Raw genomic sequence first — 25208 nt, forward strand, 5'->3', positions numbered from 1 at the left:
CTCCTATAAAACAATTGATTTCTGTATAATACTTAGGAATTTTTAAAAAGTAAGAGCGGGCTGGGCACAGTGGCTCATACCTGTAATCCCGTCCAGCATTTTGGGAGGCAGAGGTGTGAGGGTCACTTGAGCCTAGGAGTTTGAGACCAGCCTAGGCAACATAGAGAGACCACTGTCACTACACAGATTTAAAAAAAAAAAAAAGAAAAAAGTCCAAGGGTGGTGGCATGTGCCTATTGTCCTAGCTACTTGGGAGGCTGAAGCAGGAAGATCGCTTGCGTCCAAGAGTGTGAGACTTCAGTGAGCTGTGGATCGGCAACAGAGTGAAATCCTGTCTCAAAAAATTAAAGCAAAACAAAAACACAAGCAAGAGCACAGTATGACATTGATAACTGAACCTTTTAGTATATGTTATGTGTTTTAAAATTGAAATTCTGTGGTTTCTTATCTAAGGTAAATTGATTTTGGTGGCTGCATAGTATGAATGTGTGCAATTTATATGTGTAGTACAAAAAAGGTATTTTAAAATAGACACTAATTTTTTGGATAAGAAACAAAAGCAAAGCTAACTTAATAATACTGTTTTTTCTGTTGCTGTGTCAAATTATGTGATGAGGGAGACTTGTGTCGGAGTGCAGCGATGAAAAATCAGAATCAGAACTTGACAGGTTGAGAGTCACAGGAAATGAAACAGAAGGCTGAGTGACTCTTTACTCAGAACAAGTCTCTCAGGTTAACTGAAAGTCTGGGGATGGGAACAAAGACAAATTTATTGCCCTTTCATGGTAAATGTCTGCAAACCTAGGCATAAGAGAGCCTTTGATGCCCTGGTGTGCCTTTCAGCAGATTTGTAAATTCAGTAGATATGTGAAATAAAAATCAGCAGTTGCCTTGCCTTATATTTTGATAGATAAATTGCTTAAGGATTTAAAATCCATGCACAGTATGGATAATAGATACTGGATTAGAATTAAGGGATTTATTTAGTCTCCTTTTCTCAGAAAATCAAGATTACTTCATGTCAAAACAGTGTTGTCAGAAAATGTAAATAGCAAAAGGCTTTACCTGAAACTTCATTTGGAAATGAAGACTCTCATTTTCAAAATATAGTATCATTATAAGATATGATATTGTGTACCTTTATTTCTGAAAATAAGCACCTTTACACAAAGCTAAACACCTTAAATTATATTTATAAAATATTACTTCGTGAAAGAAGCAATGCTCAAATATGTGATTAATATTTCCATTCTTTGACTCACTTAATTTTACGTTAAGTATATCATGAAATTAAAAATGCATTACTATGATATATTTGACATACATCATATTGATACTATTTGAAAACGGTCACTATTTCAAAAGAGAAAGATCACTTTTAGAGCAGTTGACACTTCCCCTACTCCAAAGATACCATAAACAACAAAAAATAGTAGATCAATGTGTAGCACATTATTATAAATACAACATTATTCCAGTCATTATATGTTTCTTAATAAGAGCAATGAGCCTATTTCTGTGTTTGATGTTGTCTGTTGCACTTTTTGATTGCATGGGTAACAAGTTTATTTTACAACTGGTCTGTTTTTAAAATAGATAATTCTGATCTCGGCTACATTTAAAAACATTACTAAATAGATCCCAGAAATGTTTTTTGAAAAGAAAACCTTTTTGGGGGTGTCTGTGTGTCTCTTTCATTGCATTGAATAGGCAGCTACCTAATCAGTTTATTAGTTTGCATGTGCCTCATATAATATATGCTAAATTGCCGATTTCAGTCTTTATCAGTGGAATGGGGACGTGTCTATACTTTGAGGAACTATGGGAAAAATAAAGATGTTGAAAATAAATTTTTAATTTATTGATGATTATAAAAATGTGCATTATTTTTAGTTTTTGCCTTGAATTTCCGTAAAGTTTTAAGGAACAGTACTTATTTTTAACAAAACATTTTTTTTCCTTGTTTTTTACTTGAGTCATATGACTTTAATTGAAGGCACAAGGTATCCTGGAGATGAGGAGGGATTTTGAATTGGCAGAACTTACTAAATTCCCACCTTTTTTTTTTTAACCCTAAATTATTCTCTTATTTTTGATGCAGGGTTTGTTTTAATTATCTCAAGAGATTCTTGTGTTAAATGAAATACCCTCTGGAATGTTACTTAGTACCTACCACTACAACTGTTACCACCGCCACCGTCACTACCGTCGCCACCACCACCACCACCATCATCACCATCACCACTGCCACTGCTACTACTACTGACCACTATTACAGTATCATTTGCGAGACTTCCTGCTGTGTGTTTTACCTTAAGAAGCTTATATAATACTTTATTTTATTTTATGTTTCCATCCTTTCACTCTAAGGCAATTATATAATACTTTAAATAGCCATTATATACATAAGGAAACTGGAGTGAAAGAAGAATCAGCTCTTCAAGATTATACAACTAGCATATATAACATTCAGGAATTTTAGTTACTGTTTATTTTTTACTGTATTATACTTTTGTTACTAATTAAATTGAGTATGTTTTAATTATCAAATATTGTTAAAGTAATTATTAACCTCTCTGTGTAAAAGTTATTTAAATTGTTATTTCTATATGCTTCCCCCTCGCCCCCCAAATGCATGAAGATACAACTGTCATGAGAATATCATAGTAATATTCAAGGGAATAGAATTAGATTAATTTCATTTATACCATGTTAACCAGCCTACGTTTGTGGTCCCTCTAGTTGGGCAATTGTGCTGCTTGCTCAATTGTGCCGGTAGAGATAACCCTTAATTCCTCCTTATCCAGTTTTTGAATCATTTCATTAAACAAAAGCCTTTTTGAGTCTTCTTTTGTTGCTGAGAACAAATGATTAGATTTTAGGAACTGTAGCTACTTTTGTTATTCACAAATTCCAGAGCCATTCAAAATTTATCATTCACATTCTCTGCTCTGCACACAATCAGTCATTATGTCAGCAGCTGCCCAGGGAGGCTTACTTCAATTCATTCAGCCAAATAATGACGATCAGGACAACCATTTCTACATTAAAAATAATAATAAAATAAAATCCTTAAACAGTAGAGTTCTTTACTTCTGTAGTTAAAAAATTAATTACTTATATTCAGTAGAAATCCCATTGTACGTTTTGACAGGTAGGGAAAAGCAGTATCTGTGTTGAAAATTAATTGATTAGATTGATATGTTTTAATAATAGAGAAGGTTATAAAGGGTTCCATTTCCAAATAAATGACTTCAAGTGATTTATTAGAGGCTACGATAACTTAATCAAATGTTGGCTTTTCATTTAGTAGTTTAGTGACAGCAATAAAAAATTGTACCATTTGAATAATTATAAATTTTGAAATACCTTTAATGCATGCAAGATTCTACTTTTGCAAATGAGATAATAAGTACAGTAAATATTGAGTATTTAGCTTGCTTTTAAATACATAATGCATCTGTGATTAAATTAGAAAATATTTTAAATTTCAACTTGTTTTCCCCTCCATCTTTCTCTCTACATGCCCGCCGTCCCCATCTTCCCCCCCTTTTCTGTGATGTGTCTTTCTTAGATTTCAGTGGCATCGTTCAGAACATTGAAATAACACTTCACATATCACAAGCAAAGCATAAGTACAAATATTAATTTATACAGCATCATAGTGAGGCTGTGTCAGGGACATGCATTCATAGAATTCCTTTATTTAACATCAGGTTCTCGTTATTTTAAATGTCTTTGATTGTGTTATTCCATACTAGTGTCTTAAATGAAAGCCTGCGTTTTTTGTCAGCATCCTCAGTTAATTTCTTTCTTATTCTAAAAATAAAGAAAATGAGATGTAAATGCTGACTCAGATTATCAGTTTGCTGGCAATTTGCTTTTAAGTCACATATGGAATTAGAGACATCAATCTATGCACAATGTTGCCACCTTCTGCTGAACACTTTACATCTTTGAAAAGATCTGTTTTACTTTCAGAGTCAGCATCAACTTAAGCAAATGTGGGGCTTTATATTAATTTAAATTCAGTTTTGGTTAAAAATAAGACGTTTATGTCACATGACCCAAAGAACTGCTTTCTTTTACTTTGGTATACGTGAGGGCTATTGGTAAGTATCTGAATGTAACTCTTTATATAAAGATTTATGTTGTACATTTTCCCAGTTCTTGGCAAAAGCTTAATAATTAACAGTTCACTGTTCCCTAGCAAGTCTGATGCAATAGAAATGCTTTTCTAAAAGATTACCAAGAAAATTTAACTTTTAAAGTAGAATATACGCCATCTATTATTATTATTACCTTTCTGGTTTTCACTTACTGTCTTATTTATTATCAGATATTGAAATCCAGTTTTCTTTTTATAGACAAGCCATAGCTGTATGTTGCAGAGTGGGCTTTTTATAGGTTTAAGAATATACCCAATTTACACTTGTTAATAATAAATAATTCTTACAATTTTCTTGTATTTTACTTATTGAGATGATTAACTTATTGGAAATTCATGTTTACTGAATAACTCATTTTTCATATATAATGCCAGTATCTTATCTCCAAGTAATCCCAGGTTACTGGTATCATGGCCTTCATTCAATGTTTCAATACAAATGTGTCTAAAGGGTTGCTTGGATTTTGCAAATACTTTAAAATCTGCCAGACAACTCTACATGATCTAAATGCATAAATCTTACAAACAAATCTGATTCAGGATTAATATCAAACTGGAATGGGCCAGTCTAATGAATGCCAAGCTTAATGTACAATCTATTTTTTGAATAAATCATACTGGAAAATTGCAGAGTGTGTAAATTACATAGCCATCATAAATCAATATCCTTTAGATTGCTCTGCCTTGGATAAGGGGTAGCACTGCAGAGGCCATGACATACTTGAAAGTGAATGAGAGGAAAGCAGTTAAAGTGAGAAAGGAACACCTATTAAGGAAAAGAAATGCTCAGAAAATTATTATAAAAGTTGAGTACACAAATTACATGTCTCTGGGTAGTGGTTATTTTATGTAGAGTGTGTGGATGAATGAGATGGCTCATGCTGGTCTTCACTATATGACTGCTCCAGGACTAAGATGTTTGAATCATTCTCTGCAAGTTTGTCCCTAATGCTTAAGAATGAGTTTTGTTTTCTTTTCTTTCTTTCTTTTTTTTTTTTTTTGAGACAGAGTCTCGCTCTGGCACCCAGGCTGGAGTGCAGTGGCGTGATCTCAGCTCACTGCAGGCTCCGCCTCACGGGTTCAAGCAATTGTCTGCCACAGCCTCCCGAGTAGCTGGGATTACAAGCGCCCACCACCACGCCCGGCTAATTTTTGTATTTTTAGTAGAGACGGGGTTTCACCATCTTGGCCAGTCTGGTTTTGAACTCCTGACTTTGTGATCCACCCGCCTCGGGCTCCGGAAGTGCTGGAATTACAGGCGTGAGCCACTGCGCCAGTCCAAGAATGAGTTTTCTAAATTCTAGCATAAAATAATTGCTTAAGAAAGATTTGGAAGTCATTGATAAAGCTGCAGATTATGGTCTCTGTTCTAATCTCAGTTCTGTATAAAATATTAACTTGTCTGGAAGATACTAGTAATTAATCTGTTTAAAATATTTCACCTGGGACTGCCATTTTATTATAAATACACAAACGACCTTGCAATTCATTTTCCATTTTTATCGGCTAAATAAAGAAAAATATTAGCCAGCAATGAGAAGATTGGGAATTTAAAATATCACTTTAAGAAATATTGTCTGTACTGGCAAAACAAGTTTTACGAAGAGATGTGAACACTTTTTAAAAGCTTTTTCACAGGATCATATTAACTGCCAGGAAGTTTTGCCAAACAGATTTTAAGGGGAAAATCAGGCTATCCTAACTGTCCAAATGTTTTCTCACGTTTCAAGCAAGCAGCTGCTGGAAGTTCCTGCCAGTAGTAAACCTTTCAGGCAGAATGTGAGCAGCTGCCAATCTTGTGTCAATATTTTAAACACACTTAGAACCATCTTAACTGGTGTAAAAAATTTCTCTTTCCCCCAAAAGGGCCAACAGATATCTCTTTTTGATGCTTTGCCTTCTTTTACTCTTCTAGAGGTGACATAGCAGCAATTTTTGTAGAAAAAGATTTTTCTGGAATATTGGGAATAAGAACAAATTTCAATTTGTCCATGGACAAGGACAAATCTGAAATAACAGCACTAAAAAGAACATAAAAAATTGTAATCAATGAATAGTTCAGCAAATATTTCAGTGGTGAATTTTAGTGCTATTACCAGAGCTTAAAAAGAAAAAAATAATCAAAGCCCAGAATTTAATCTTCGGAAACTTAAGATCAGGGTTGGCAAAGGCAAGAAATAACTTCCTAGAAATCAGTTCGAAGGGATCTATTAAACTGGGAATAATTGTCTACTTGACTCTTACATTATAATACAAAGTTTGTATTATAATCCCTGGTCTCAAGAAGTTATTTTTAAGGTAGATGAGAATCAGAGTGCATGGTATTATTGCAGAAGTGGATTAAAAGGATAAAAATGGCAGAAGATTGTGCTTGAGACCTGATGAGATGAATTTTTGTTTCCTAGATTAGGTGGGCCTTTGATTTTATTGAAAGGGTGATGATGGGCAATAATAGAGTTAAAATGATGAAGGAGAGAGGTGGGGGAACAATAAGACGAGACCAGTGTGTTAATAAGAGACCATGAGTTTGTTTGGAGAGTGAGAATTCACAGAGACCAAAGAAGGTGAAGTGAAAGGCTACTACTAGTGGAGCCTTTGAAGCAAATGGTTTATAATTGGTTCTGTCTTTATGCTTTTATCTAAAAAACTAGGTATTGGATTTTTTTTTTAATTAAAAGTTGAACAGTGTGTGGAACTGAGCATTATTTACTTTAATCTTTCATTTTCTCTTTTTTCCTTGTCTTTCTATTTAGACTAAAATTCTTTTGTCATAGATGTTTTTAAAGATTTAACTTCACTCCTAAAGTTTTGTGATATTTTGATTATTCAGGTTCAAAATTGCTAACATTTTTCATTATGCATATTAATATTTTAAAATACCCAGAAAACAAAATTCTAACTCATTATTCATTTTAGATTGAGATATAACTATAAAGTAGTGTAATTTTTAAAAACCAAGTACCCGAGTTAGAGTAATTAATGCAAATAAGGCACATTTTACAAGTAGTCATCCTGGAAAACTATATACTTATTCCAGTGATGAAGATATTAATGAATCATTTTTGAAACATTTCAGTTGTATTGTCTTTATAATCAGGAATGGATAAGAAAATAAATTTCATTGCTTTGCTGAAAACTACATGGACTATTTCTTTCTGTCACTTCACCTCATCGGGCTTGGCTTCAAATATATTAGGACTTTCCAAAAAAATGAAATCCATTCACAAAAGACGACAGTATACTATTAAATATAATATAGACATCATTGACACCTCCAAAACGTTAGTGAATTAATGAGTAGAAATATCAACTCATGTGACTATCCAAATTTAGAACCATTGTTGATAGAATTAACACACCAAACATTTGCTTTTTGGAAGAGTGGTTTGGATAACTAATTGCAAAGTAGTTTTACTTTCAAAGACTGGGAGATACAATGCCTACTTTGAAAGCCCAGTTTTAGCCATTACCAGCTGTGTGGTTTTCAGTGGGCAAATCACTTCATCTTCCTGTATCACAGTTTATTCTTCAGTAAATTGGGAATAATAACCTTATAGGTTGTAAAGATTGATGACTTAGTGCATGCGAAGTGCTTAGAATGGTGCCCTGCACATGGAAAATATTACCTAATTGTTGACACTTAATAAGGTGATACAGATAACTCTGGATTTGCCAGGTTTTTTTTTTTCTTCACTAACAAAAGTAATATTAAATGGCCTTTAAAAATGTTTTTACCTGAAACTAGCTGTGACAGAAACGGTTTCTGGAAAATATCATTATGTGACTAAAACTGTCATTTTTTTAATTGTTTGAAATCTTACACTTTTGTAATAAAGAATAAGTGGTTAGATGTTTATACATTGTACATTTCAGGTGGCATCATTAAGTGTCTGAAAAGTGGGATTTTTAAAGTTAGTACAGCTTTCCCTCTCAGGATTTTAAAATGTTTCTGCGTTCTCAAACATTAGTGGTGAATTTATGAGTGGTTTTACAGACTCTCTAGTACAGTTTGATTACTTCATTCTATTTTATAAATACCAAAGAATGCACACCAATTTTGAATGGTTACACAAAACACAAATCTGACAGAAAAATGAAGCTGTATTAAAACTTACACAAATCACAATTTAAAGATACACATTTAAATACAACCCAGAATCTCTGTCCTATTCACAAGGCATCCTGTTCAGTATTAGGAGATAATAGATACCTTGTTTTTTCAAGGGTGTGAACATGTTTATTCTCTGACTTGGGTAGCAGCTGTGACTGCTGTGCACAGATGTGATAGCACTCCAGGTAAATGAGAGATACAGTGTTGCTTGTGTAGCAGCTGCTGATAATTGTAGAATATTTGTGCAGTAGCCCACCTATGTTGCTTTTCTGCTGATTCATAGAGGTAAAGACTTCATTGTGTGGATTGGTTTTCCCTTCAGGTAATTGATTCAATCTTTGTTTCTCATTTTGTAGTGAAATGCATTTGATTTTAATCCAGTAGTTGTGCAATTCTCAAGGGAATACACACCTTGCTATTGTAGATGAAATTCTCTCTATGTGTTTAAGATTGTGAGGCTTTCAGCCTCTTTGTTTATATTATTGACTAAAGTGATTACATACCAACCTTTAGGTTATGCTACTAAAAAACAAGCTCCTGAATGGCAGCAGGCAGTGAGGAGATGCTCTTTTTTAAAAGGTAGTCTTTATGCCTGAGGTTTTGTACTTTATGCATTCTTACCCTTTAACTGTGTGTGGAGGTTTTCTAGCAAAAGTATCCCTGTCATGTTTTTTTCCCTTTCTGGTGTTTGTTTTAACTTTCACATTTTCATTTTAGGAGAAATTGATTGGGTGAGTATGTAATTCATGTGTGTGTGTGTATTGTGTGTTTTTGTGGTTTCCTTGTGATAAAATGCTTTTGTAGTTCTGATCATGTCTGTTTTAACAAGCTCCTAAGGGTTTTGATTGGTAAAACTTTTCTTGGGTGTCTTCTCATTGATTTTGATCTCATAAATGAGTGTTACTCATGTAGTGAATGCTTGCTAAAATCCCAGAGCAGCATGGACCATTGATAGGAAGGTTCTATCCATCTTAAGATGAGAATCACCTAAAGTGATTCTGATAGTCCTAGAAGTGAATCAATTTAGACAGTGTAACACTGGTACCTGCCTTAGAATATTCCTATATGTTGTCTTTGGAGACTACTGCTCAAGATATAGATAAAGAAAGCAGAGTCCTGGCTTATATTTATAACTAATTAAATTGGAAGAGAAGACTGTTTTATTCAAAATCAAACATCTCATGTTTTGTTATTAATCATAAGCCTGGTGCCTTGCATAAACCATTTGCAGGAATAATTTGAAGCACTGAATTCTTTGGAACAGCAGATTTTGCAAGTGACTTTTTTTTTTTTAACTATTTTGAGTCTATAATAAATAAGATACACTATTATCACAACACTTAAATTGTGAATATCTTCCTTGGAAGAATGAATTTCAGTCTAGATTGAGGCTTCTCAGTAGCAACACACATGTATTAAGAGTTTCTACATTATTATATCATTATAGAAAATTTGTAGCATCTTGTACCTCTTCCAAAAGGAGTTCAAGTTTAAAGTACTAAAATAACTGTAGTACATATGGTGTTGTGGAATGGGTTGTAAAATCAGTGAGGCTTCTGTTTATATAAGTAGATGTAGTTGCTGTAGGAAACACTGGAGTTGGAGGGTCTGGGGCAAACCTTTTCTAAATGGACTGGCTTTTACTCAGCTTCAGTGATTGTAGCCTTGAGGAAATTTGGGTTCACTCTTCCTAGAACTTCTGATTTTTTAAGAGAAGTAGAGTATCTATGTTATTGACAAAGTCGGTCCCCCAAAAGATAGGGTCTTTCCCTGTTTGGTGTTGTGAAGCCAATACGTGAAACTGAACTTGAGCGTCAAGCAGTTAAGGCTTTATTTGGTGGCCATGGAATGGAGAAGTGGGAGCATGGCTCATAAATCCACTTCTCCACTCATGAAAGCCAGGAAACCGTAGATATAAGGCATCTTTAATGAAGGAGTTGGGCATTGTAAGCAAGTGGAGGAATATTCATGTCTTCTCTGAGGGTGTGTGGAGAACCAGAGTGCTGCCTTCCTTGTTTATGGTTTCTTCCAGTCATTGTCGTTATGATTGCCAATTGTCATGGCACTGGTGGGGGTGTCATTTAGCAGGGAAATTCAATTATAATGAAGTTAGAGATTCTTCAAGTGAGCTGCCTTCTTGGATCCTACCAGTTTTAGCTGGTTTGGTCACAAGGATGAACTTATTTATTTATTTTTTATTAATTAATTAATTAATTTTTTTTGAGACAGAGTCTTGCTCTGTCACCCAGGCTGGAGTGCAGTGGCATGATCTTGGCTTACTGGAAGCTCTGCCCCCTGGGTTCACGCCATTCTCCTGCCTCAGCCTCCCAGGTAGCTGGGACTACAGGTACCCGCCACCACGCCCGGCTAATTTTTTTGTATTTTTAGTAGAGACGGGGTTTCACCGTGTTAGCCAGGATGGTCTCAAACTCCTGACCTTGTGATCCACCCACCTTGGCCTCCCAAAGTGCAGGGATTACAGGCGTGAGTCACCCCACACCGCCAAGAACTTCTAACTGTGGGCTTCCTGTTTCTTAAAGATAAGCAGAGTTAAGATGGGGTAGAAATTCTGTGAGGCCATGTAGGCATTACACTGAGTAACATGTAAATTTCCATGTGAACTTTCCTAGTTTTAAAACCATGGCTACTAATTCAAATTTTTGCTTTTCGATATTTATTTAATGATGCCTGGCTCATAGATGAGCAGATGTGCAATGTCTTTCTGGAAAAGCTTTCATTTCTCCAACTCTAGGATTAGCCTGTGCTTTAAAAAACTGAGACACAATTAATAGAAAATAATATGCACACCTCTTAAGTGTTCTCTTTCATCATTTTTGACAATTTTATACAACTATGCAACCACCACCCCAAACAAAATTTAGAACATGTCTCTCACCCCAGAAAGTTATCTGTTGCCCTATTTCAGTCAATTCATCATTCCTTCACGTGTGCAACCATTTTCTAGAACTTTATATTATAGAGCAAAGAAATTGTGTCTTTACACCAAATGAAGCCCAAGGGCTACAGCTACCATTGGCAATCTCCTGCTATAAAGCAAAATAAAATGTACTATCCTTTTGGATGGGATGAAGAGAAGGAAAATAATAATTGTTGGATGTTTTTTGTGCACACCACTTAATTTTATTGAATCCCTGTGTGTAAAAATTTCTGTGAGTTTCAATGCATCATGTTCTAAATGCAGGAATTGAGGCGCATAATAAATAGGTGACTTGCCCAATCTTAAACAGCTTTTAGCCAAAATGAAAATGAAAAATCAGACCACAGTTTTCCCGATTACTTTTTCACTACTATAAGACTGGAAAGATATTTTGAAAATTAATATAATAATGAAAAATGGTTATTACTACATGATTATGACAATATCTAAAATATTTGACTATATTTTAGTTGACTAACACAATTCTGAGATATTATGTCTAACCTTATGTTCAAATTTGTGAGGTAATTTTTTATCACTATTTCACAGATTTCACAAAATAAATGTCAGTGTTAGTAAGTACCTTGCCCAAATTCACGTAGCAAATGAATCATGAGGCTGAATTGAAACCAGGGGCCTTTAACTTTAAAGACTTTGTTTTCATAAAATTACTTTTTTAAATTATATTTTACTGTTGTAAAGTACTGATTTTTATTTTGAAATAAAAATATTTTTAATATGTTATTCACTCTGTGACAGATACGTTTGTGAATTGCAAATATCAGCTAATGAACATGAAGTATGAAAGTATGCAAACAATATGGATGTTTCAAAAAGTATCAGAACAAAATGGATGAAAAAGATATGTTTTGCATATAAATGTAATATAATATGAAAAAGTAAAACCAATGTGAGGTGCATTTAAGGTAGATAGCAAATTGTACTGAAGGATGAATTCTGTAATCCAGTCATTGGATAATTAGCAATTTGAGTTTTTGTCCTGTTGGTTGGAGGCTGAATAGTATGAATTAATCATATTCTCCCTCTCTGTCATTTCTCAACTAATTGGAAAATTAAGATCATGTTGTCATTTTTAGATTGTTAAGACTGATTTTAAAAACGCTAGTTGCCTCACAAAGCAGCGTTTCCAACTACATCCCCCTAAAATGGTCTCGCCTGCTTATTTGTCCAGGAAGAAGCTGGAGAATAAAGATCTCTCTGAAAACAAGAGCAATACTTGTCCTAGTTACTGGCCACTTGGGAAGAAAAAGTTGCTTATGAGCATGCAGACCTATGAGAAAGGGAAAGGACCCAGAGAAGGGCCTCACCCTGGAGGGGTGACGATCATGCGTTAGCTGTTCCACCCAAAATGAGTATGACTTACTGAAATCTAGTTTCTTAGCAATTCTTCCACTCCTTTGAGAGAAGCAAACACCAGGAGGAGGGAGGGAAAAGTCTCCCACCCTAACACTGTTCCTGAGAATGGAAGGGTTGCTGGAAGTACACCAGCACTTCCCTGGAAGGGTGACAGTGAGAAGAGAGGAAGGGATAAAAGTATCCTCCCTGTATTAATTGTTGCTCATTTTTGTCATACACTTGAGGTTTCAGTTTGAGTGACAGGAAAGTGTTTGTGTGTGCATACTTTAGGTGTTTTTAAGACTTCCTTAGGGCACACTTACTATGCCTAACCTATTTGTTCATTTGAGTCTGCTGCTAGTGTGTTAACTCAGTCTGGCACCGTAACTGCATCTGAAATTCACAATAAAATAAAAACCATTAGTAAAGGCATCAGTCAGTAATAAAAATAAAGTCTGCAAAGCTTGTAGTTTAATTAAAAATGGAGGCTGTTGAAAATGAGAGATTAATGGAGTCATAAAGTAGAAAAATTAAAATGCATATGTAAAATGGGATGGAATGATAGTCCTGGAGATATACCTTGTCTTAAACAGGTCTTTGAAACCTTCTCATCATTAGTTTGAAATTTTGAAGGTCATGAAGTTAAAGAAAGAAGAAAGTGCACAATCAGCTTGACTGAACTAGTGATAGGGTTTTACAGTTTACTGTCTTATTTTAAAAATTAGTACCACAGAATATATGATACTATTTGGCCACTTCATTTCATTTTTTCTTTCTTTACAATAAGGTAATATATATGTTTGGCAAGTTCTTCAATTATATTTTTGCTGCACTTGTAGACAAAAGAATTACCTTCGCATTATATGATTTTAAGGTAAGTTTCAAGAGATCAAAATTTACTTTGAGTCATGAAAATATAAAGTTTTAAATGTTACTAATTTCGACTTAATTTTCTAGAGGGCAGAAAATGTTAAGAAAGAAGGGAAGTCACATCTGTTCATTACTTTTTGTAAACCTATTTGAATTCAGTAAATTAAAAGATGGCTTTGTCTACTATGTGGTTCAATATCCGAGGTCAGGACATCTGGTACCCTAATTTGGTTCTCCCCCTGTTATACAATGGGGATTTGGGTCAAGTCATTTAAACACCTTTTTCACTCCCTCTATCAAGCCTCTACAAATTAAAATGCAGCTTAGTAACCCCTGGAGTATGTTACAAGCACCTTATTTACTCATTGCATATGTGTGAAAACTACCAAGACAATTACGTCCACCATAATATTTTTCTGTTGCTGTGTAGCAATAATCATCTATCATACTAAAAAATCTATTTCTTATGTATACAACTTTCCTAATAAATTATCTATAGTATAGTAAGCTTTTCACTTAAGAGCCAGAATGTCATGCTTTAAAGAGGTTGGAAGGAAAGAGAAGATAGATTGCTGATGAGTCATTGGTTTAGAGTCTTAATTTTTAGATGTGTTCACCAATGGACTTACAGTAGATGGACATTCTCCACAAAAATCTCACTACCACTGCCTTCCACCCAAAAAAGTGAAAGATAGGATTTAGTTGTTCCATAAATCATCTTTCCAAGAAAGCGAGCTGTTCTTGCAATAGGATGGCAGATGGAACAGCTTTTTACCAGTGGGGGGTTTTGTTCTTTGCTGCCAAAGATATTGAGGAAAGAAGAAACTATGCTAATTTATCTATTTTTCTCCTTTGCAAGCAACTTTACATGTATAAGGAACTCACTCACTCATTTTGAGGTCTAAGTTATTATTTTTTGGCACTTGGCACATAGTACAACTGTGTGCTGAATGTATATGCACTGTTTAACCTTTAAACATTAGATATAAATGCAATATACTATTAAAGGGTCTTCTGCTTGTTGAATTTCAAAAAGTCATGAGAAGGTTAAGATCTAGAAGACATTCCAGATAGTCTCTCTTGATGCCCACTTTCTGAGATCATGTGCAGAATATGAAAGCTCTTATAAAAATAGGGACTTTATTTCCCCTAGCTGAAACCCAATAAATGAAAATATATAAAATGGGCCAGGTTTCATTCTGATTAACCACTCAGTGATTATTTATTTATTAAATAGCCATGTTTACGGAGGAATAGAGCGCTTAGGCTCTTGGTAAACTCTGCCCAAAGCATTGATTTCTGACAGATGCACTGATAGTTTTACTGTCTTTCCTGACTTTATATAATGAGTGTTTAAAGGCAGACTGTTTCCTGTCTGTGAAGAACAATACCGATTTTCCATGTTTTGCCAAGGGCATGGGTTATTCCAGGATGTAGTCAAGTGATCAATCCATTGGGACACACAATTATATCCTATGCTTTGGTGCGTTCAAAGAGAATATTTTGGAAGAATTATTAGTTTTCTCAAGCAGTCATATGTGTATTGAAATTGCAAGATCAAATCCAAAATCCTTTGAGCTTTTATTTGGAATAAAGATACCATGTGAAAATGATGAGCACCCTCATTACAGTTACTACTTTCTAAGAAACTCTTTTTCATACCCTGTAAGATCAGTTTTTTTTTTTTTTTAAATTCCTTTGTTCCCTTTCCTTTCATCTGCTGCTTTTTACTTGTCCCACTTCAGGGGAAGATAATTGAATCACCTCCGGCTGAGTGCTTGTGGACCCTATAAATTTAATGCCTCTAAATAAATTATGAATGTTACAGAGAAGTTAGAAAGAGTGGAATGGATATATTCCAGTCTAGGTTGTAGTTTCAGATGATTAGTTAATATCTTAGGTGCCTTATATTGCTTTGATAGGGAAAAAAATGGATATCTAGATCTTAGGCAAGGACATATTACTTTGTGCCAAATTTCAACTCTAGGAAAAAAAAAAATCTAATGTTTTCTGAGCTCCTCATCCTGACTGCTGAGTGATGCTGACAAAAACACAAACAAAATCCTAATATTTTTAGTATATTATTCAAGATAGTATAGACTATGCTGCAGTGACAAATAAGGTATTAACACCATAAAGTTTGGTTTCTTGTATTCAGTGCATGACAGATCATTTTCTTGGGTATCTCTTCTCCAAATGGTGATCTGTAGACCAAGATTGTTTCCATTTTGTTGTTATTCCTTCTGGAATATATGGCTTCTACAGTTGCTGTGGACGTATTAGAGACCCAAAATACTGGGAGCTGTATTTGGAAGGCCAGGTCTGCTCACATTTTATAAGCCAAAACTCAGTCATGTCATTTGCAACCTTACTGCAAGGGATCTGGGAAGAGTAATCTTTTCTGTGTATTCAGGAAGAAGAAACAATGTGATGAACGGGCTACACTGTCTCTGCCATAGTTAGTGCTCCTATGAACTCACATAATACAACCCATGCTTTTGCCCTCAGTGGCACTGTCAAATAATGTTACTCACACCTAACTACCTTATGTGTCTTAGTGTTCATAACACATCATTTAAAATTGAGAAGCTGAAGAATGAAGTAGGAGGACTGACAATACCTGACTTCAAAAATTACTGTAAAAGCACAGTAATCAAGACTGTGGTATTGGTGAAAGAATAGTCAGATTCTTATTGTCAAAAAAGCCATGCTTAGGGTAATTAAAATACTCTGGATGATACTACAGTGGTAGATTCACATTATTATACATTTGTCCAGACCCATATATATTTGTACACAACCAAGAGAAAACTGTGATAGAAACCATGGGCTTCAGGTGATAAGGATGTGTCAATGCAGGTATATTAATTGAACAAATGTACCACTCTCATGTGGGATGTTAATAATGGGGGAGGCTATGCATCTATGGGGCAGAGGGTATATGAGAGATCTCTGTACCTTCCACTCAGGTTTTCTGTGAAGCTAAAACTGCTCTGAAAAAAATAAAACCTTTAAAAAAATAAATGGAACAAAATAGAGAGTCCAGAAATAGGCCCACAAATATAGTCAACTGATCATTGACAAAAGTGCAAAGGCAATTTAATAGGGAGAGGATAGTCTTTTTTAACAGCTGGTGCTGCAATAACTAGATATCCACATGAAAAACATAAAAAATGAGTCTAGACACATACCTTACACCTTTTGCAAAAATTAACTCAAAGGTGGATCAAGACCTAAATGTAAAGTGAAAAACTATACATATCCTAGAAAATAACATATGAGAAAATCTAGGTGACCTTGAGTTTGACAAAGACTTTTTATACACACAATCACAGTCAATCCATGGAAGAAAAGTAATTGATAAGTATAATTTCATTAAAATTAAAAGCTAGTAATGAAAAATCTAGTCATATCTGGGAGAAAAATATTTGAACAACACATATCTGATAAAAGGCTTATATTTGAAACATACAAAAACTTCTTAAAACCCAATAAGAAAACAATCCAATTTAAAAATTGGCAAAAGACTGGAATTTACAACTCACCACAGAAGATATACAGATAAAAAATAAGCATACTTAACATTATATGACATTATGGAATTGCAAGTTAAACAACAAAATACCACAACATACCTTTTAGAATGACTAAAATCCAAAACACCAACACCAGCAAATGTTGGTGAAGATATGGAGCAACAGGAACTGTTACTCATTGCTGGTGAGAACGCAAAATGGTACAGCCACTTTGCAATATGGTTTGACAGTTTCTTACAATACTCTTACCATACTATTCAGCAATTGTGCTCCTTGATATTTACCCAAATGAACTGAAACCATATGTCCAAACAAAACCCTTCACATTAATGTTTGCAGCAGCCTCATTCTTAATTGCCAAAACTTGGAGGCAACCAAGATATCTTTCAATAAGTGTATGGATAAGCAGACAGTGGTATATCCATACAATGGTGTGTTATTCAGAGATAAAAATAAATAAGCTATGAAACCACAAAAAAAGACATGGGGACATCCTAAATGCTTGAAATGTAAGCATTAAGTGAATCTTACATTGCTTAGTGAAAAACCCCAGTCTGATTCCATACTGTGTGATTTTACAATATGACATTTTGGGAAAGGCAAGCTATACAGACAGTGAAAAGATCAGTGGTTGCCAGAGGATCATGGGGAGATGAAGAAAGATGAGCACAGGAGATTTTTAGGGCAGTGAGAGTACTCTATATGGCACTGCAATGGCTGATACATGCCACTATACATTTGTTAAAACCCATAGGATGTACAACACAAAGAGTGAGCCCTAATTTAAACTATGGCCCTTAGTTAACAATGTATTGCTATTGGCTCATCAGCAGTAAAAAATGTACCACAGGAATGAAAAATATTAATAGAGGGAACTTTGTGTGTGCCCATGCAGGGGAGAAGGCCAGGTATTATATGGGAACTCTGGACAGTAAGTCCTCACTTAATGTTGTCAATAGGATTTTGGAAACTGTGATCTTAAGCGAAAACAATGTATAACACAACCAATTTTACCACAGAGTAAGTGATGTAAATAAAAGTTAAGTTCCTACAGCATATTTCTAGTCACAAGAGCATTACCAAACTTCTAAATTAAGACCCCCAAATACTTCTAATGTTAAACATTGAAATAAATGTAAACTATACATACATTTAAGAAAGATTAATAAAAAGAAGTACGGTGGTTTTTTACAAAATGATTTTAGTTCCGGGTCTTAGGTGACCAGAGCCTAACCTAACAGGTCAGAGCACAGACGGGAACGAGCCTTGGCCAGGACACCATCCCATCGCAGGGAGCACTCACAACGATGCCCACACTCACTCAGACTGGGAACCTATAGACATGCCAGCTCTCCTAACGTGCACATCTTTGGGATGTTGAAGGAAAGTGGAGTACCCAGAGAAAATCCAGAAACACAGGGAGAATGTGCAAGCTCCACACAGAGAGTGGCTCCTGGCAGCCGGGAACTGATTATTTTTCTCATCAACATTTTAATGGAATAACATTGAACAAAATGACATTTTTCAAGGGACTGCTGTACTTGTCTTTTTCTTTATTAATAAACCCATCTAGCACAAGCTGACTTTGTTTTATCTGAGTATACCTACTTTGAAGTTTTTTTTTTTTTTTTCTGAGATTGAGTTTCGCTCTTGTTGCCCAGGCTAGAGTGCAATGGTGCGATCTTGGCTTACCATAACCTCCGCCTCCTGGGTTCAAGCAATTCTCCTGCCTCAACCTCCTGAGTATCTAGGATTACAGGCATGTGCCGCCATGCCCGGCTAATTCTGTATTTTTAGTAGAGATGGGGTTTCTCCACGTTGTTCAGGCTGGTCTCGAACTCCTGACCTCAGATGATCCACCCGCTCGGCCTCCCAAAGTGCTGGGATTATAGGCGTGAGCCACTGCGCTGGGCCCCCTACCTTGATTTTTACCACTGATCCCATGCAGTGATCTTATGGATGCTTTAGCTCTGCCACTCATGGGAGGTAAAGTCTTCATCATCTTGCTGGCTCGTTGAAAAGTTTTACTAACACAGTTGCAGTTGATTCTATTAGTTTACTTCTGGCCCAGTGATTCTCAAACCCAAGGTTTATTGCCCTTCTGGAGACATTTGGCAATGCCTAGAGATACTGTTGGGTTGTCACAACTTGGGCTGAAGGTGGTAATACTGGAATCTAGTGAGTACAGTTCAGGAAGGCTGCTTAACGTTCTATAATGCATAGGACTGCCTCCCACAACAAAGAAATATCCACTCCCAAGTGTCAATAGTCTTGTGGTTAAGAAATTATGTTTATTAGCTATTTTTAATGGTTGGTTGGAAATTGAATCTATTATCTGATTATCTGTATCATTCATTAATTCATTCAATGGATACTTACCGGATAACTGCTATAATTGGAAATGGCAATTCATTTTTATGGTTGAATCTGTACATGGGATCTTGATCTAACCTGGGTTATGAAAGAAGGCTACCTAAGGAAGGGACATGTAAGCTGAGATTTGAAGAATAAGAGATAGTGAAATTTGTAATCACAGTAAGGAAGGGTGTGGAGAGGGAAGAGTCTTCAAAGCAAAATGAACACTCCCTATGGTTGATATGGTTGAGTCTAGACAGGCTTCTCAACGTGGGGAAGTTCTTGTGCAAGTTCTGAATTTGCAGCTGCCCTGTCCATAGGTCCCCTTACTTACTTGTGATCTAATATTTCACCCCATGGATGGTAAGTATTTGCTTTTCTGCCCCATTTCCAGGACACAGGATTGATTGTGCTGTATAGGTCCTGTCGAACTGCTTATAGGAACAGAGTGGAACTTTCAGTGTCTAACCTAGACTAGCCATAAATACCATTCATGGTGGTGAGGCTCAGGATGTTAGGCAAGGGCTCTGTATACAAAGTTCCTTCTATGAGGTCAGGAACTAAGCCTGTTAGTAGCAATGTTAAAAAGTATAGCTCACGTGATCCTGGTGGAGAAGGAGGGGCTGGAAAGGCAATCAGGCTGGGCTTGATTTTGAGGCCTGGAGATATAAATGTAATAGCATCTTTCAATTTACCTCCAACTCCTGGAAACCATGAAAGAAAGGAGTGTAGAGACATAAAAGTAGCCATACTTGAATGGGCTGTTTAGGGCTCTTGGCAGCTGTTTTTTAAACCGCCATAAAATCATTTTCAGACCTGCTGTTTTGGTCTTAGATGATAAAGGATCCTCAAGATAATGCTACTTCTTGGCAACAAGTTAAATGCCAAATGAACTTGTAGACTAAGTTTGCCTTCTCCTTTCCATTTTCCACATATTTATCATGTAAAAATACAGTTCAGAAGTATCATACGTTCTCTTTCATACATTGGATATTTATTGAGCACCTACTATGTCCCAAGACTGAGGCACTAGGGATATAACAATAAACAAATTTGTTCCATGTTCTCATGAAGCTTAATTCCATTTGGGGGAGACAGATTATGAAAAAAAGTATAAATAACTTATTAAGTAAAATAATTCCAGATAGTGTTGAATATAATTAAAATAGCACAGAATACAGGTACAGAGAATGATTTGGGAATGAGGCTCAGGTAGGCTCTGTTAAAAAAATTAGATTTGGAATAAGGCCCAAATGATATGAAAGAGGAAAGCTCTTGATGATCTGTGAAAATAACATTTGAAAGAGCCCTGAAACAAACAAATTGGGCTTATTTCAGGGGTAGGAAAGACCAGTGTGGCTGGCATTTAGTATGGTAGGCCAAGTAGGGTAAAAGACAAAAATTAGGAAGACAGGCAGGGTCTAAATTAGGTGGCATCCTAAGACGTCAGAGCAAGAAATTTGGATTTTTTAAAATTAGGTTGGTCAAAAGTAGTCATGGTTTTTGCCATTAAAAGTAATTGCAAAAACCGCATTTACTTTGACACCAACCTAATACTTTCTTGTGAATTCTTCTGGTGAATTGTAAGAAGGAAGAATGACGTATCTTGTTTACACCGTAAAAAGATCATCTGGTTGCTGTATGCATGGGTAATGGACTGCTGGTGCGGTGGGAGTAAGACTAGAAGGCAGGAGGTCAGTTAGAAGCCTGCTGCAGTTTTCCAGGTGATAGATAATGATAAGTTGCTCAGATTGTAGCTGTCAACTGTAAAAAGAACTGGCTATTCAGAAAATGATTCTATTAAGTTCTATGCCATTTTCATGTTTGTATGACTGTTTACTTTGAGATCATTTAAAATATTTTAGTACATATTTTGCTAACAACATGTTAAGTGGCTGATACATAATTACATAAGTGTCTATGCCTTCTCTTTATTATTTTTTTTGTGACATGTCTGGAAACTATGTAAAAAGGAAATAAGGAATTTTAGGCTACTTTTCTTCCTGATAATACAGAAATTGAACATAGAAATTGATTTCTTTTAAGCCTTTTCCTTAAAGCTTTGAACCTTTTAAGCTTCCACCAATACTTACCTTTGCAAGTATTTCTTTCATTATCTAGAAAGGTATAAGAGAGGAGTAAACCTTGAAACTTATGGAAATAAAAGCACTGTTGATTTCTAAGTTCCTTTACATGTCTGGAAACTTTGGTCACTTTTGTGTGATTATTCTTTTAAAAACCTTGAGGCCTGGATTACCTGTTCTTCAAGTACATTAATACATTTCTTAGAACTAAATCTGGGAGTGTATCTGGCAGACCAATATCTTAGCTATTTGTACTGCTAAAGAAGAAGTAATTATTTTAACTTTTTAAAAATCTACAGCAGATTTTTTGTGGAACCATATGAAAGTACCCTAGTAGATTGTAAGGCATGTTTGACCCAAAGATCAATAGGATCTTTACAAACACTTTTCACATGTATTTCAAAGAGTGGTTAGAGTACATTCATTATGTACTGCCAAGATCCTTAAGGGTTTTACAGGAGAGCTGGAAATGGAATTTTCTACATCAAAAGCTGCTAACTCATTTCTTTCTCCTTCTTGTGTAAGGCCTATAATAGTAGGTTTTTCTTTGTGTATTAGGTTTGGTACTTTTTTGAAGGACAGAGGAGAATGAGTTGTGAAATGTGAATGAAGATTAGTGGACAGCAAGGTAGCTTGTTCCTCGTTACACTTTTTGATTGGGGAAGGAAAGACAGAGGCTGAAGATTGTAGCTTCTATCCTACGTAGAGTAACCAGAGTCTATATATCATACTTCCAATCTGCCACACCAACAATATTAATAGTAAAATACCTTCTTAAAATTATTTTACTCTTCTCCAACCCAGTACAAAAACTTACAAGACAACTATTATGTCTATGCATTATAAAAAGAAAATATATAGGGACAGGCATGGTGGCTCACGCCTGTAATCCCAGCATTTTGGGAGGCCAAGGTAGATGGATCACTTGAGGTCAGGAGTTCAAAACCAGACTGGCCAACATGGTGAAACCCCATCTCTATTAAAAACACAAGAAATTAGCTGGGCGTGGTGGCACATGTCTGTAGTCCCAGCTGCTTGGGAGCCTGAGGTGGGAGAATCACTTGAACCTGGGGGGCGTAGGTTGCAGTGAGCCAAAGGTTGCAGTGAGCCAAGATTGCACCACTGCACTCTAGCCTGGGTGATAGAGTGAGAACCTGTCTCAAAAAAAAAAAAAAAAAAAAACACAAAACACACACACACACACACACAAAAGAAAATATATAGGATAATATTATAAATGAATGATTCTGGAAATAGTCTGCTTCAACAACTTTGGAGGAAGACTCATAAACAGCACTGGACAAGAAGACTCAAGATATGAATTTTAGCTCTGGATTTGCTGATGGGCCAACATTTTACCTTCTCAGAGCTTCAGTACCCTCATCACAAAAGGGCTATAATATCTGCCTTGCCTTTATCTCAAGATTGTTTTAAGGATCAAGTGAGGTAATGCTTAGAAAAGTTTGTGAACCATGAAGTAGTGTAATATCATTATAATTTCCCTGATTTGAGTCATCACCCCTTTTTAGAAGAATTAACTGAACACGCTGTCTGCTGAAGTCTTATCACTCTGTGCTAGAGCCTTAACCCAGGCTAGGCTACAACATGACAAAAGCATTATGAATTTAATCTTTGGTAAATGCCATTAGAGACCTTCATCAGGGTAATGGCTCTGCACCACCCTAGTACACTACAACTCTGATTATAGTGCACACCACACTTTTGCCCAGTTATAAACTATATGATTGCAAAAATGAAAACTTCAGTTCAATTTTCTATGATTTTTCCTTAGCAAATTTAATATTCCAGAGAATTTAAAATATTTTACATAATGTAATTTTTTATATTGACAGTCAATACTCATTACCTCTCACATTTATTTAGCAATTATGAGTTGTCAGATATTTGGCAAGTTCTATAAATTCATTCTCTAGTTACTCCTTGCAGCAGTCCCATATTTTTATGCCCAAGTTAGTGAAAAGAAAATGGAAACTTAAAGATACTAATTGGCTTGTTCAAGATGACAACTGGTGAATGGTGTCATTAAGGAATAGGCTGCCTGTATGTTGTTACTGGAAGTCCAATGTGTACACTGAAATAGTGCCTTATAACATCTCCCTGGGGTCATTTTTTGGTGAAAAGTGTAAAAATTTGTTAGAGATGTAGCATTTCCAGAAACCAGAAAAACACCACTCAATGAAAATACATGACAACTTTTAGTCTCATTCTGGAGAAAGAAAATTTCAGTCCTCCCTACAACCACTTCAAATAAATCACTAAGTAATTTGAAAAATATCTTCACATCAGCATTACTTTCTGCCCCATATGCCCAAGATACTGAAAGCTTTGGTTATCTTTTATTATATTAAGATCCTGAGAACATTTATATGTTTATAGTTAGATCTAAGATAAGGATAGAAATGTCTGGTTAATTCCTGAAAATTGACTTCACCATGTTGTGTTAGTCTAGAATTCCCTCCCCTTTCCCTCATGTGTTGCAGTTGATGAGCAGATCTGAATATGCAAAGCCTATTTAAAATCAATGGCCTTAGATCGAAGGCCCAACTTACTGTTTGCCAGACTAATAAACTGAGAATTAATGTATCTCATTGAGCTCAAATTTGATTGTACGTCAAATGAGAATAATTATTAATGATGTTGTTTGTAATCTGTTTGAGAGTACTTTGTAAACTCCAAAGTGCTATATAAATTAATTAATTCTATTTTAATGTAGTAAACTAGAGATCTCTGGCAACTGAGTAAGGTAAGGTGCTTCTGTCTAATTCTCTTACATTTTACATATAAAATCTATTAAAATATGTGCATGAGCTTTGAAAAATTGTTTCTCCTCTGGTATGTACTGAATTGTGCTCCCTGCAGCCCAGTTCATATATTGAAGTCCTAACTCCTAATATGATTGTATTTGGAAATACAGCTGAGAAGGTGATCATGGTTAAATGAAGTCCTAAGGATGAAGCCCTAATCAATAGAATTAATGCTCTTATAAGAAGAGGAGGAGACACCAGAGCTCTCTTTCTCCTCCATATGAGGGCACAGTGAAAAGGTGGTCATCTGCAAGCTGGAAAGATACCCCTCTTCTGGAAATGAATTGGCTGGCACCTTGATCTTGGACTTCCTAGCCTCTAGAACTGTGAGAAATAAATTTCTGTTGTTTAAGCTACCTAATCTGTGTATGTTGTTACTGGAAGTCCAGGCCGACTAATGTACCTTCTTATATGCAAATATACCTAAGGATCCTTGTTAACAACTCAAACCAGTATTAAATTACTAATTGTATCAGTGTGTCATTCCTACTTGTGTTAGTCAGAGTTCTTTAGATAAACAGAACTAACAGGAGAGAAAGAAAGACAGAGATTTATTTTAAGGAACTGGCTCACATAATTGTGGAGCTCCCAAGTGCAAAATCTGTAGGGCAAGCCTATAGGCTGGAGATTCAGGTAAGAGTTGTTGTTTGCAGTCTTGAATTTGAAGGCTGGTAAACTCAAGCCTTTCCATGTTGCAGCTTGGAGGCAGAATTTCTTCTCCCTTAGGAAACCTCCATCTCTGCTCTTAAGGCCTGCCCATATTATGAAGTCTAATCCCCTTTACTTAAGGTCAACTGACTGTAAATGTTATAACATCTAAAAAATACCTTTACAGCAACATCTACAGTAGTGATTTGCCAAATGCAAGTCTAGCCAAGTTGACTCTTAAAATTAACTATCACACTGCTGTAACAAATTACTACAAACATAGTGGCCTAAAACAACACAAATTTATTGTTTTGCTC

The 25208-nt window shown here is 35.5% G+C and overlaps 1 protein-coding gene across 57 annotated transcripts in view, besides 1 other annotated feature; it reads left to right on the top strand.

Moving 5' to 3' along the window:
* Positions 1-25208, top strand: part of ADGRL3 (adhesion G protein-coupled receptor L3) — an 878010-nt gene that overhangs the window by 95289 nt on the left and 757513 nt on the right. The window lies entirely within an intron of this gene.
* Positions 24717-25011: a silencer, noted in NCBI's record as "tiled region #909; HepG2 Repressive non-DNase unmatched - State 23:Low, and K562 Repressive non-DNase unmatched - State 24:Quies". NCBI's record gives its function as "represses a minimal TATA promoter and a strong SV40 promoter by Sharpr-MPRA in HepG2 and K562 cells {active_cell/tissue: HepG2 | K562}" and the evidence as "EXISTENCE:reporter gene assay evidence [ECO:0000049][PMID:27701403]".

The sequence above is a fragment of the Homo sapiens genome, chromosome 4 (genome assembly GCF_000001405.40).
Source record: "Homo sapiens chromosome 4, GRCh38.p14 Primary Assembly".
NCBI classification, from domain to species: domain Eukaryota; kingdom Metazoa; phylum Chordata; class Mammalia; order Primates; family Hominidae; genus Homo; species Homo sapiens.